Raw genomic sequence first — 14,695 nt, forward strand, 5'->3', positions numbered from 1 at the left:
AACAGATAGAAGGTAAATATGGAAAGATAAACCAAGCTGTTCCCAATAGTTATCTCTGGAAAGAAAGGAGTAAAACTTTTACTTCATACTTTGTTTACTATTTGATTTTTTTTTAAATATCAGAAAGCACTTATTACTTATGTAATTTTAAAAAGCAATAAAAGCTGATTTTAAAAAGAATATAAATCATAAATCCATAAACTTACTCAATTTTTCACCCAGCATGTAAAGAATTTCTAGCACCAGCCAATGTATATCCAAGTGGAGATGTAATAAATGCCATGACGGTGGAAAAAGCTGTGGATGACATTATCAACTGTGATTGAGAATTCATTAATATTTTACTAGGTATTTCATAGCATGTCACAATACTCCTCCATAAACACAAGGATAAAGAACCAATTAACCTACCACTATTCAAAAGCTCAGGGAAAACCTCTGTCTTGTTCATTAGAGGATTCTTTCACTGAAGATCTTTGAAAGCAGGAAATATTTTCATCTGTTGGTTTAAGACAAACCCACCTTGGGGCTGCTGAATAGACTTGTATAGTAAAGGTACCTTCCAACCAACCTCTGATTCTACTACAGCTGCAAGGCAGTAAAAGAATTTTTTAACACGTATTTTCATAATTTTGTTTTAGAATTTAGCTAGGAAATTTTTTTTAATGTATGAGTACCCAGGAACTCCTATAAAATATTTTAACAAAAGAACTTTAGACTGTCATGTAGACATTATTGTCATCTCATTAAGAAACAGAAGTTAAAAGAGGTGAAAAAATTTACCTCTCAATTCATGTATTAGTATTCAAACTCAATTCTACCTGAGTCAAAACCCAGCACTTTCAAGTATTGTGTTATACTGGGTTATCAATAACCTTCCTCCTGTCAGCATTTAGCATCACTATAAAAATAAATACAATGACATAACATGTTCCATTAAAACAAATAGAAAGAATGATGAAGAGTAGACCTGCCTTATTAGGTATACAAACAAAATAAAATGCTACACTGACAAAACAATATTGGGACAGAAATAGATAACAAACAGCAAGAACAGACAAGACAGAAATAAATTTATGTGGCATCTGAAATCGATGGGAAAAGTATGGGTCATTCAATAAAAAATAAGATTTTTAACTTTGCAAGAAACTAAAGTTAGACTTCTCACCTCACTGCATGTTTAAAAATAACATGAATTAAAGAAATAAAAGCAACAATCAAAATATTTTAACAGCATAGATAAAACAAAAAACGGAAAAATATAACTATCTAAAAAATTCAAATCGACCTAGAAAGTCAGCTTACTTGATGAAAAAGTAAATAAAAGAAAATATTTGCAATACATAATTCTGAACAACTAATATATACCTAGAGAGTTCTTAAAAAATAAAAGAAGCTCAACTGGAAGTACCAATTAAAACAAGACATTTCATATACAAGACTGTTATAACAAATATATAAAGTCTTGAAAGATGCTTTTTATTTTATTATGCTTTTTTGTTTCAGAAAAGAACAGTATTTTAGTGTGTGATTTTTTATTTTTTGAAGACTGTAAAGTTCCCCTGCTTTAAAAATTTAGTCTTCTGAGCTTCAAATAACCTATCTTTTCAAGTCTGCCTAATTAAAAAGCCTATGAAAGGCAAAACCTAGTTTGAGGACCCCAGTGCACAAATTTTTATTTCTGCTGCTATATAAATTATTCATTTTTATTTCTTACATATTTGATGGATAACCAGAAAATAAAAACCAGTCCAATTTACAGAAACTAGTAAGGAAAATATCCCTCCCTCAACAATCTACTCATGAATCTTTTTATTAAATGACGTAATTAAAAGCAATTACCTATTTGTTTTCTATCGATTAGATATATTAACTTGTAAATTCAGTTAGAACTTTGCTTTTATTATTACATATATTGATCTCTGATGAAAAACTTGTTTCTGCTTCATTTCACAGAAATATGTAAACATTTAATTCTACTTATTTTATTTCTTGAGATAGGGTCTTGCTCTGTCATCCAGGCTGGAATGCAGTGGTGCAATCATGTCTCACCACAGCCTCAACCTCCTGAGTTCAAGGGATCCCCCCACCTCGACCACCTGAGTAGCTGGGACTACAAGGTATGTGCCACCACACTGGACTAACTTTTTAATTTTTTGTAGAAATGGGGTCTCGCTATGTTGCCCAAGCTGGTCTCAAATCCTGGATTCAAACAATCCTCCTGCCTCAGCCACCCAAAGTGTTGGGATTACAGGCATGAGCTACCATGCTTAGCCGTTTTTATATTTTAACAAAGATATATTCATAAAGAGTAAATATTATTCAAAACGGTAAAGTCAAATATAATGAAAGGGGTTGAGACTTCAGGGAATCTCACTGTGAATTACCATAATTTGTTATTCATATAAGCTCCCATTTTCATAGGCAGAATCTATTACTTATCTATAAGCTAGGCACGGTAACAATATAAAGTTTTAAAAACCAAACTTCAGAGGGAATGATTATCACAGGTAGGAAAAAAAGGGCACAGTCAAAACAATCTTAATCACATTCCAAAAAGGCCTCAAAAGTCAGAATACACATAATGATGTGGTCTTGAAAGTTTTTTTTATAAGCTGATCTTGAATCTTACTGTAATATATGATAAAAATTTCAGAAAATAAAGATTATTTCATTTGCTTTAAAATTTTCAGACACTTATACTGTCATAAATCAAGAGAATAGCTACTGATTCAATGACTACTATGTTTTAATAACTTCATGTATATGAATTTATTTAATTCATCCAATGATTCTGGTAAGTTGTAAGAATTACACAGATGTGGAGGCTGAGGTGTCATTTGCCCAAAAGCACACAATTAATAAAAGGAGGATGGGGGGCAAGAATTTCAACTCAGGCAGTCAGGTTCCAGAGCTGTAATTCTGACTAATTTCTCTCCTTCTTGAATGAATACTCCTTGTGGGGAGAAAAAGCTGATAATTTAAAAATCAAATGAAACAAGTCAAACCTTAATCTGGTTTTGATTTACAAATGCTCCTATATTAACACTGGGAAGTTCAGATAGGTGTCCAATATACAAGAGTAATCCATGAAGCTCATCAATCAACACTGAGGGAAGCTGAGCCTCCAAAGCCTCATAAGGATGGACAGGAACATGACTCTCAGCATTCTGTACTTTCAGATACCTAAAAAATAATTAGATAAAATAAACAACTAGAGTCTGTGTGAATACACACAGAAATTCATGCAGTGATCAAAATACTCATCTGATATCCTACCTGAAGATGAAAACTTTAACATAATGGAGAAATAGTACACACTGCTGCCTAATATTGTCTGCTTTGCAGTGTAGAGTTGATACCTTCCCTGAAACCAAAATAGACAATGTTAATCATAGTTCAAATAATTATCATGGGCAGTGACAAAAAATGTTGTAAGCCATACCGGCAGCAATTCTCTATCTTGTAACATTTTATATTAAACATTCTCTTATGGTTCTTGCTCCCCGCTACTCCTCAAAAAATGCTCTTATTAAAGTCACCAATCACACCCACATTGCCCAATCTAATAGACAGTGCCTACCCTCAAGTAACTTGCTCCCACAGTAGCACTAGCTACACCTGGCTTCATGGTGCCAGATAATGAGTCTTCTTTCTTCCTCATGTATCCTTTGTCCTACCTCTTTTATTGGCTCCTCCTCCTCAATTCTATTATTAATATGGTCTCTTCAAGACTCAGTCCTGAATCCTCTACTCTCTGTATATCTCTTCCCATATGTATGATCTCATCAGTTCCTTTATTAATAAATGATAATGACTCTAAAAGGGTTATCTACAACCCCATCTCTCCTTTGCACTCCAGACCTTCCGTGTTAAACTGCCTAACACCTATACTTGGATTGCTCAGACAGTGCAAATAATACCTCCTTTGATTTCTTTCAAAACCTGTTGATGCTGTCCTTGTTTTCAGCCTTTCATAAAATGGTGCCACCAGTAGCCTATATGGTTCTTGATTCTTGCATTTCCTTTAACCTCGTATCTAATCCTTCAGAGTCCTATTAAGTTAATAACCAAATATACATTGAAACTATCCATTTTCCCTATAAACACTTAAACCACCACAATAGCACTCTTCACAGGTCTTTCCATGCTCTCTTTTGTCCCCCTATACACTAAGTAAAAAATCTGCTTAAAATGTATATCAATTTATCTTGTTCCCAAGTCAAAACTCTTGAAAGAATACCTATTATATTTAGAATAAAATCAAAACTCCTAATAATAATTTATAAAGCTCTGAACGACCTTTTAATAGTTGCTGCCTTTCTCCCAACCTCACTCCATGTCAGCTTTCCCTCACTTACTTCAGCATTTATATCAGCAATAATTATCTAGGTAGTTACTATGGGCAAAACACTAATAATCATTATATAGAGAATGAGTAAGAGACAATCTAGTAAACAAAAGCAAAGAAAACATGATGAGAATTATAGGCTACAAATTTACAGCCATACTAAACATGAAACTAAAGTTTAATTCAAATGAACAATCATGCCACTACTGTGGCAGAATAGAAGCATAAGTGTGAAGCAGTTGTGTAAATACCTCCATATTAAACTGCATTTTTATGGCTTTATTTCACCCATAAAAAGTCATATCATCCCAATTTTCACAATTCTCGGCCCATTAAGGCAGTACTCTCTTAAAAATAACTGCAGTGAACATCTGCATCCAGGCAAGACGGAGTAAAATAATCAGATTGCTCCATCTCCCACTGTAAAGCTGAAAACCATAAAAATTACGTCAAGCAAGTTTTCAGGCTCTGGACACAAGACAATATAAGATTGCTCTCCCAGAGAGAAACTGAGCCCTACAACTGTACCAGCTCCCCACCTAGAGACAGTTTCCAGGCTTCAATATGAGGAAGAGAACCCAAATACAGCCCAACTCACTCTTTGAGATGAGGAGATATGGGATCCAAGTTTAGGGAAGTCCAAATTTGCAGGGCAAAAGTACCCAAGAAGAAAGAAGCTATACAAAATAGAGTTCTGGAAGGGTACAGAAGTGTCCCTCTGAGATTTAAGTATCGATCTGTTCAAGCATGAAAAATATTACCCAACGCCAGGGAAAAACACCAGAAAACAATTCCCTATAAAGAGTACACAAGCCAGGGAATAGTTCAAGTTCTCACCAGCAAGCATGAAAAAAAATCTCATAATAGACTACGCACGAGAAAGAATTCTCAAAGCCTTACTAGACTAATTTACTAGGCTAAGTTAACATTAAAGGCTGCTTTTTAAAAGTCCTACCAAAATTTAAAACAAGCCTCAAGAAGAACCAGTGGATTACAACTACACAATAGCGACCCATAACAAAATTCAACATCTAGTTTAAGGAATAAAAATCCAGAAAGCAACAATGTGAAACCCACAATGTTCATCTAACAATAAAACATTACTATATATTCAAAGAAGCAGAAAAATATATCACAGAATCAGGAGAAAAACTAATCAATACAAATAGTTTCAGAAATGACAGTGATAAAAGAATTATTGGCCGGGCATGGTGGCTCACGCCTGTAATCCCAGCACTTTGGGAGGCTGAGGCAGGCGAATCACGAGGTCAGGAGATCAAGATCATCCTGGCCAACATGATGAAACCCTGTCTCTACTAAAAATACAAAAATTAGCTAGGCATGGTGGCGTGTGCCTGTAATCCCAGCTACTCGGGAGGCTGAGGCAGGAAAATTGCTTGAACCAGGGAGTCAGAGGTTGCAGTAAGCCGAGATGGCGCCACTGCACTCCAGCCTGGTGACAGAGCAAGATGCCCTCTCAAAAAGAAGAATTATTAATAGCAGCAACAACAGTGGTTATAATGTATACTCCATATATTCAAGATGGATGAAAACAAGCATGAAGTCAGAAACAGAAGACATTTTAAAAAATCCATAAGGAATGTCTAGAGAAAAAAAACACACACACAATAGCTGAGACAGGGTAACACCAACAATTATATTTAAGAATAGCTCTTGGCTGAGTGTGGTGGGTGATACCTATAATGCTAGCACTTTAGGAGGCCAAGGCGGGAGGATCACTTGAGCCCAGAAGTTTGAGACCAGTCTTGGCAACATAGTGAGACCTTATCTCTACAAAAAATTAATTTTAGTCAGGCATGATGGCGTGAGCCTGTAGTCTCAGCTACTTGGGAAGCTGAGATGGGAGGATCTGCTTGAGCCCAGGAGGTCAAGGCTGAAGTGAGTCATGATCGCACCACTGCACTCCAGCCTGGGCGATGGAGTGAGACCCTGTCTTGAGACAGAGACAAAGAGACGGAAAGAGAGAAAAAAAACAGCTGTCAGCAAAACATGTCATTAAGTATGTTATTCTGCCTCAACTGGAAATTAACCCTGGAAGCATAATGGCTAGAACAAGAACTATACTCATCTGGCAGTAAGTAACTACATAGGGACTTCTTGGCACAGCTGAGGTCCAAGGGTAGCTACACAAGTTAATGAACACAGCTACATGGCAGGGACATGTTCATGTATGGATAATATTTAACACCACTAACTTGTCCAAAATCTGTCATTAAAAGCTTTTTTAAGCAACAAAAACAGCCAAAATGTCAGTGTAACAAACAACCATCTTAACAAATAGTCCACTGCAGTGGTTTCAGGTTAATAAGTGTAATAATAATAATCTATCATAATAAATGCCTTCCATGAACCCAATTTACTTAAGTTATTCTACGTAAAGGTAAAGGTATTTTGGTTCTTTCCACTATAATCTTTTAGTGGCTCCACAGGAGTTCCAAAATAAAAATCATACTCTCTGTCATGGTTTACAAAGCCAACTCTGCTTTTATCCCTTCCAAATTCATCACTCACACACATTCTGATCCAACCATATGTAATTAATATTTAATCCATGCTCTCTAAACTTTTATGTTTTTACACACATCACGTCTTTGTTTATACAGTTTTATTTTTTTCTGCCTGGAATTCTTCCTGTCCGAAAAACTTTTCCCAAATCTTTTGCCTAGCTAATTTCTTCCCATCTGTGAAGACCCAGATCTGGCATCATTTAGTGAGGAGCTCACAGATAGACAAAGCCCTTGGCTTCCACAGCAGCTTGTACATTCCTTTATCACCGTACCTTTTCATTTACCAAGCTGATGTATGCTTGCATGTCTAGCTGTCTACACAACTGCAAACTCATCAGCAGCATATTTTTCCTCTTTGATTCGTCAGTACCTTGCAAAGTACCTGGCATGAACCAGGGACCCATCAGATGATAATGAAACAATAATACTTAACATTTACAAATCACGTAACATATTAAGAAAACAAAAAATATAAAACAGCCTAAAAGCTGATAGCTAACAGCTAGGCCATGGTATCCCCTACTGAAAATAAACAATTTTCATAAAACATAAAAAATAGTCCAGGCACGGTGGCTCACGCCTGTAATCCCAGCGCTTTGGGAGGCCGAGGTGGGTGGATCACAAGGTCAGGAGTTCGACACCAGCCTGACCAACATGGTGAAACCCCATCTCCACCAAAAATACAAAAATTATCCAGGTGTGGTGGTGTGCGCCTGTAATCCCAGCTACTCAGGAGGCTGAGGCAGGAGAATTGCTTGAACCCAGGGGGCTGGAGGTTGCAGTGGGCCAAAATCATGCCACTGCACTCCAGCCTGGGTGACAGAGCGAGACTCCATCTCAAAAAATAATAATAATAATAAATAATAATGATACAGGGCCACTCCATTACAGTGAAACAAGACAAAAACAAAACCTCTGTAACCATGTCTGAATACAAAACATGGCACTATGCAATCACACACACTCCAAACAAAACACACACACACACACAAAATGAACAAAAAAACACATCCTCCCTCTTCCAGTGACCAGGACAATACTTTTTTACTAATTAGGATGCTCCCTTTGTTTGTCTCACCTCCTAGATAAAAATTAAAATACCCACTCTTCAAATTGCCCCTGCTAATTAACAGCATCCAATCCAGAATATAGCCTTATCCCCCTTAAGCCCTACGGAAAATCACCAGAATGAGCCCCAAACATATCACAAGTCCCTTCCTACTCCCTCTTACTGACAAGCCCCAGCTTTTCCTTGTAATGTGTATTTTTCCTTTTTTCATAATCTAATAAACCTCTGTTTGACCAAAAGTGTTCCAGGTAGTCTTTGGTTGCTAGGCATCAATAATGGTAGACACTGTGTTAAGCACTTAACACGCTCAACAAAGTTAGAACTATTACTTGACGTAAGACCCACAATTAGCTAGGGTTGGAAGCCAGGGTGACAAGGCCATGATTCTAAACACTGCACTGCACCAAAATTACTAGAAAGGAGAAGCAGCCAGACTGCACTAAAACACACTGCCCTTCAATTCCCTTTATTACCTTAGCTATACATGCGGTGGCTCATGCCTGTAATCCTAGCACTTCAGGAGGCCAAGGCAGGGGATCACTTGAGGTCAGGAGTTTGCGATCAGCCTGGCCAAAATGGCAAAATCCCATCTCTACTAAAAATATAAAAATTAGCTGGGGGTGGTGGCAGGTGCCTATAATCCCAGCTACTCGGGAGGCTGAGGCAGGAGAATCACTTGAACCCGGGGGGCAGAGGTTACAGTGAGCTGAGATGGCACCTTTGCACTCCAGCCTGGACAAAAGAGCAGAACTCCCTATCAAAAAAAAAAAAAGCAAAAAAAAACCAACTATACCAATCTAAACAAAAGAAAAAAAAATCAGTAATCCATCACACACCAAAAGCAAACACAAAAGCAGAAAGCAGAAAAGAAAATCAAGAAGACAGCATGAGGTCTGGCACTGTTTAGTTCTCATTTAAGTTCTCTATCCCACTCCCTACCTCCAAAACAAGTACTAATTCTCTTCAGAGAATTTTAGCTTAAGTCGGTTTTACCTTTAAAATCTACAGATTTGGGAAAATACTATATATCTCAGCTACAACAAAATTTAAAAAGTCATACTTTTCTGAACACTAAATTCGTAAACTTCTGGCCTAATGCTTCCTCTGTATTATCATGATATGCCAATTATACCATCATGGACCCATGTGCAACTCACTATAATGAAGCACCATTCCCTTTTGCATTAAACACACCTTAAACTTACCAAAATCACAACTGGACTGTAACAAGGTTTCCAAGTTGTACAGTTGTTGCCTAATTTTAAAAATGTAAGGTGAGAGTTAATTTTAGAACACTTTAAAGCATGTAACAATTACGTGGACAATGTTTCCAAATTACACAGCTTCAATACCTCTTTAATTTGGGGATGATGATTAATACCTTGTGAATGTTAATTAAAGGATCAGCTTCAGGTAATGAAAACTTTAAGAAAAGATAAAATACATCTTTGCCTGACCTTCCAAAATTATCTATTAAAGACTGCATATATCTCAAAAATTATTTCAAATACCATAGCCTTCACCATCAGCAAGATACTGTTTATATCTTTAAGTTTACGGCCGGGTGTGGTGGCTCTTGCCTGTAATCCCAGCACTTTGGGAGGCCGAGGCGGGCGGATTACGAGGTCAGGAGATCGTGACCATCCTGGCAAACATGGTGAAACCCCGTCTCTACTAAAAATACGAAAAAATTAGCCCGGCATGGTGGCGGACGCCTGTAGTCCCAGCTACTCGGGAGGCTGAGGCAGGAGAATGGTGTGAACCCAGGAGCTGGAGCTTGCAGTAAGCAGAGATCGCACCACTGCACTCCAGCCTGGGCAACAGAGCAAGACTTCGTCTCAAAAAAAAAAGAAGTTTAAGATGGGGTGCAGTGGCTCCCGCCTGTAATCCTAGCACTTTGGGAGGCCAAGGCAGGTGGAACACCTGAGGTCAGGAATTCAAGACCAGCCTGGCCAGCATGGTGAGACCCCATCTCTACTAAAAATACACAAAAATTAGCCGGGCGTGGTGGGGGGACCCTGTAATCCGAGCTACTCGGGAAGCTGAGGCAAAGAAGCGCTTAAACTCGGGAGGCGGAAGTTGCAGTGAGCCAAGATCACCCCACTGCACTCCAGCCAGGGTGACAGTGTGAGACACCCTCTCAAAAAAAAAAAAAAAGAAGTTTAAGATACATAAAACATTCTAGGTTAACAGTTACATAATAAAATTTTAAACTGTATCATACAGTTATACAATAGAAGTTCAAAAAAGGAATAATGTAGACTAAAGTATCAGGGAAAGCTGTTATTTATCATGTTCCATCTTAATTCCTGATAGCAATTTCTTGCTATTCTTCCTAGTTGATTTCAAAGTCTTTAAAAATTAACCCATATTTATAACCTATGTCCTAGATAAAGACTCGCTCATTCTGTAATCTTCAGGATTACAGAGGATCACTCACTGAGCCTGTTCTATCAATAAAACGTATGACATGGCGTAGATACAGTTTAAGTCTCTTCAAAAGGTTTCATGGGATGATGGTGAGAGAATTCCTTCCACCTCTCCATTTTCCTTTAAATGTATCACATATAGATTTTTACTGTGTTTTGGAATAATTAGCTTTCAATAACTGACTCCTGTTTAAAATTACCTAAAATCTGAATATGAACTGTGTCTTAAATGATAATGAAGAACTTTAATTTTTATTAATTGAGATGAGTTTTTTTTTTGAGACAGAGTCTCGCTCTGTCACCCAGGCTGGAGTACAGTGGGCAATCTCAAATCACTGCAACCTCCGCCTCCTGGGTTCAAGCAGTTCTCCTGCCTCAGCCTCCTGAGTAGCTGGGATTACAGACGCATGCCATCACGCCTGGCTAATTTTTGTATTTTTAGTACAGAAGGGGCTTCACCATGTTGGTCAGGCTGGTCTCGAACTCCCGCCTCGGCCTCCCAAAGTGCTGGGATTACAAGCATGAGCCACCGCGCCTGGCCGTCCTCATCGTTTTTAAAAAGCACATATTTTTAAGAAATTCATACTGAAGTATTTATGGGTGAAACGACATGATGCCTAGGATTTCCTTACAAATACTTAGGCCAAAAGAAGAGGAGACAAGACAGATGAAGGAAATGTAATAAAAAGTTGTTGTTTACTGCAACTGAAGGAGGGTATATGGATGTTCATTATATTATTATTTTGTGTATGCTTAAAATTTTTCATTAAAAAAATTTTAAATGTTGTCCAAATAATTAATATTTCTATTACACAGTCTAAACAATTTATTTGTTAAGACCATACTCTAAAGATCACTGAAAGACTATGGCTATTGCACAACAAAAATATTTTAATTTTCTTCTAAAAATTATAGTTCAAAGCCTTAAATATTTGTCAATACATGTGTCAAATGCAAAGAATAAAGATTCTGAAAACGCAACTCATTAAAACCATTACTCATCAGGCATTGCTGCTTGATTATTGTTACTGGTAAGATAATCAAGTGAGCAACCAGCACAATTCCTCTGGTCTTTTGTAATATCAGTATTAGAAGCCACCCAACAACGTAATTTACAAAAGTGAACAACACCTACACTCACAGAAAGTTATAACGAAGAAATACCTGAATAAATGAAAGAGTTCTCTAGATGAATTCACTAATGCTGTTTCAGTAACCCACTGAATGCCAAATATTTCCAAGGTATCTTCTTCAAAATTAGTTGGTAAAGGGTCAAGATTCAAAATCAATCTGAAATGAAAATTGTTTCAATCTCATAAAAAGTATACTAAGTACCATAATACGACGGCTCTTTTCTTTACATTATTTGAATCCATATTATACATGACATGTATAAAAAGTCAGAAAATGCCTTGGTACTTTACACATTCAAGATTACAATAGCTAGACTGTATTAAAACGTCAATCTTCTATATTGATAAAATGTACGACTAAAGTGTAATGTAACTTAAGAGGAAAAATCAACAAGAATTCTAAAAAACATATTTCTGCCTGTCTTCACCAGTAGTCTTCAGTTGTAGAATTTCATCCTTTGAGGGGACATTTAATTTTAAAACTGCTAACAGTTATTCTGAGCCATGTCTGGAGAATAGTATCCAACTAATGAAGTTGAGTATTCTATTTAAGATTTCTAACAAGGTACAACTATAAGGTCAACAAAAATAGTTTCCTCACTGAAACTGCCTCAGCAGGTATTACCAAAATATTTCAAGAACAGTTTTACTGTAATATATATGTACCTGCCCAAGGCAAAATAAGTCTATACACTTCTATATGTGCAGGTAGGATTAGAAGGAACAGGGGCAATAAAAAATGTTTGTCTCTCTTAAATATTACTGGAAAGCTCTAGAATATTATCACACTCTTTAGAAGGAAATACTACTGCAAAAGGCTCAGATAGTTAGGAATTCATTTTAAGTAGAAGAAAAATTAGTGCCCAGCTCCCTACAGTAAGGGAACATCAGTTACCAAGGAAGTTTTCCCTAATACCCCAAATACTTTAGATATGCCCTTACCAAGAAGCCAGCAGAACTGATAATCATTTGTACCCTTATGATATACTAAGCTGATTTATAAAACACGACTTGGTGAACACCAAAGTTTAATGGGCTGAAATAACTAACATTCCTAAAAAACTGGTGAATAATCAGATGAGGGAAAATGTCTCTGAGTTTTACCTACCGCTTAAGGGCTCCGCTGCAGAGGTAGGATTCTCCAGAAAAATGTTTTCCTCCTCCTCTGTTGTCAACAGCACAAGAAAAGTAAGGAGGTTTGCACCATTCCGTCCCCAGCTCCAGCTCTAAGCTGTCAGTCAGGAACGTCGATGCAGCAGAACAGTTCTCCATTGTTTACTTCATGTTCTGAAACACTTGGGGTTCGTCGTATCATTAAGGGCTCCAAAGAGAAGGTGTGAAGAGATTCCTGTTGGGGGGGGGGGGGTGGGGCCGAGAGAGTGGGGATTACTTCAGAAAGTTCTCAAGACGTCCGCCAGCAGGAAGGAAAAACAAACGAACAAACCCAGAGGCCAAATTCCCAATTCCCCCTCGCCCTCCGTCCATCAAGGCTGTCAGAACTTAAGACAAAATGCACAACCAACTGGCTGTGGCAGGGACCTCGAAATCCGGCCACTAAGTCGGGCTCTGCAGCCCAGGACAAGGTGAAAAGCAAAGAAATGTCTGCAGGACATAGCGTCCCGGGCTTGCCTAGAACTGCGCCCTCCGCAACGTTTCTAAACCACTCTCCGCCCGTTTCCCAGCAGCAGGGTGGAGAACGCTCCCTCCCCGGCTCGGGGTGGAAATTAGGAAAGCAACCCCTAGGGCCAACCCCGACCCTCCAAGGAGGAGGCGAGACCCACCAGGCCCACGCCTGGCAGCACTCGGGCGGAGAAGGCGGGGTGCCGGTATCCCGCGTACCCGGCTGCAGCAAGGACCCGGGGCGTCGGTTACCCGCGGTGCCTGTCGTACCCGCTCACATTTCCAGCTCCCGAAACCTGCCTCCTGTGACCCAGACCACCAACAGGAATCTTTGGGGTCTAAACCGCAAACAGGCGAAATTCCCGCCACCGCGCGCCCGCGCTCCGGAAAGGCGGGGCCACGGCGCAGCCCTCCCCCGGCTACCAATCGCCTCGCGATATCTGCGCGGAAACAGTCGGAGCCCCACGAATTCTCGCGAGAGTCCGTCAGTCCGGGACGAGGTACTGAGAAACTTTTTTTTTTGTACCTTTAATTGGTGCGTTCGGCTGAAAGGCGGGGCCTGGTAAAAAAAAAAAAACAGAACTGCTGCTGAGGCGGAGGAGAGGACTTAAGGACTATGGGTTTATCCTCTGGCCGGACCAAAGAGAAGATATTTACTCCAGTGAGTGCGAAGTGAGTGCCTCGTTCACACCCACAGTCGCGCCGTCCCCTCTTCCCGCTCTGGGGCCAGCAACTCTTGTTAGAATGCAGATGCCTTTTGTCCATGGACTGTGAGGCAGGCAAGTGCAACAATTAATTTTCTCTGTAACAGATGGAACAAGTAGACAGAAAATTAGTATGGATATGGAAAACTTGGAAAGCACTAACCAACTTGACCTAATTGACGTTTATAGGTGACCAACCCAACAATAGCAGAATACACACTCCTGTCAAGTGCACATGAAACATTCACTAAGCGATACCATATTCCGAGCCATAAAACAAATGTCATCAACTTTAAAAAGATTTAAATCGTACAAAGTGTATAGTCTGATCATAATGGCATTAAACTAGAAATAAAGTAGATACTTGAAATACTCTAAATATTTGGAAATTAAGAATCATACTTCTAACTAACCTGTGAATCAGGAAAAATCACAGGAAAATTAGAAAATACGTTGAATTAAATTAAAATGAAAACACTAAAATTTGTAACAGTACCTGCTTACATTAAAAAGAAGAACTCAATTCAATAAACTTTTGTCTTAAGTAACTAGAAAAAACCCCCAGCATATTGAAACCAAAGCAAGCAAAATGAATGAAATGATAAATAGTAGAAATAAATGGGATGAAATAAATGGAAGGAAATACATGCAAAAGTTGTTTTTCTAAAAGAGCAATATAATTGATAACCCCCCTACCCAAACTGATAAAGAAAATAAACAAATTATCAGTATCAGGAATTAAAAAGGTTTCATCACTATGAAATTTAGTCATTAAAAGGACAAGGATATTAAAAGAACATTATGAACATTTTTATGCCAATAAGCATAGGTGAAATGGACAAATTCCTTAAAAGACGCAAA

The 14,695-nt window shown here is 38.3% G+C and overlaps 1 protein-coding gene across 21 annotated transcripts in view, besides 2 other annotated features; it reads right to left on the reverse strand.

The window, feature by feature from the left end:
* Positions 1–14,340, reverse strand: part of MMS22L (MMS22 like, DNA repair protein) — a 141,875-nt gene extending 127,535 nt beyond the window's left edge. For 8 of the 21 annotated variants that reach the window (XR_942376.2, XM_047418577.1, NM_001350599.2 and 5 more), the window contains exons 1-7: positions 13,401–13,521; positions 12,619–12,858; positions 11,542–11,667; positions 9,154–9,203; positions 3,280–3,367; positions 3,009–3,186; positions 207–297 (exon numbers count right to left, since the gene is read on the reverse strand). Coding sequence is in view for 19 of the 21 variants with exons in the window: in XM_047418577.1 (XP_047274533.1) it covers positions 207–297; positions 3,009–3,186; positions 3,280–3,367; positions 9,154–9,203; positions 11,542–11,667; positions 12,619–12,782 (697 nt within the window). In the remaining 2 variants the exon portion in view is untranslated. Of the gene's footprint in view, positions 1–206; positions 298–411; positions 589–3,008; positions 3,187–3,279; positions 3,368–9,153; positions 9,204–11,541; positions 11,668–12,618; positions 12,859–13,291; positions 13,522–13,656 lie in introns of those variants that run through there. The other 13 variants (XM_047418579.1, XM_047418574.1, XM_047418576.1 and 10 more) reach the window with 7 other exon arrangements.
* Positions 13,098–13,357: an enhancer, noted in NCBI's record as "active region_24848". NCBI's record gives its function as "activates an Ori minimal core promoter by ATAC-STARR-seq in GM12878 lymphoblastoid cells {active_cell/tissue: GM12878}" and the evidence as "EXISTENCE:reporter gene assay evidence [ECO:0000049][PMID:35858748]".
* Positions 13,738–13,797: an enhancer, noted in NCBI's record as "active region_24849". NCBI's record gives its function as "activates an Ori minimal core promoter by ATAC-STARR-seq in GM12878 lymphoblastoid cells {active_cell/tissue: GM12878}" and the evidence as "EXISTENCE:reporter gene assay evidence [ECO:0000049][PMID:35858748]".
* Positions 14,341–14,695: the final 355 nt, after the last annotated feature.

The sequence above is a fragment of the Homo sapiens genome, chromosome 6, assembly GCF_000001405.40.
Source record: "Homo sapiens chromosome 6, GRCh38.p14 Primary Assembly".
NCBI lineage: Eukaryota > Metazoa > Chordata > Mammalia > Primates > Hominidae > Homo > Homo sapiens.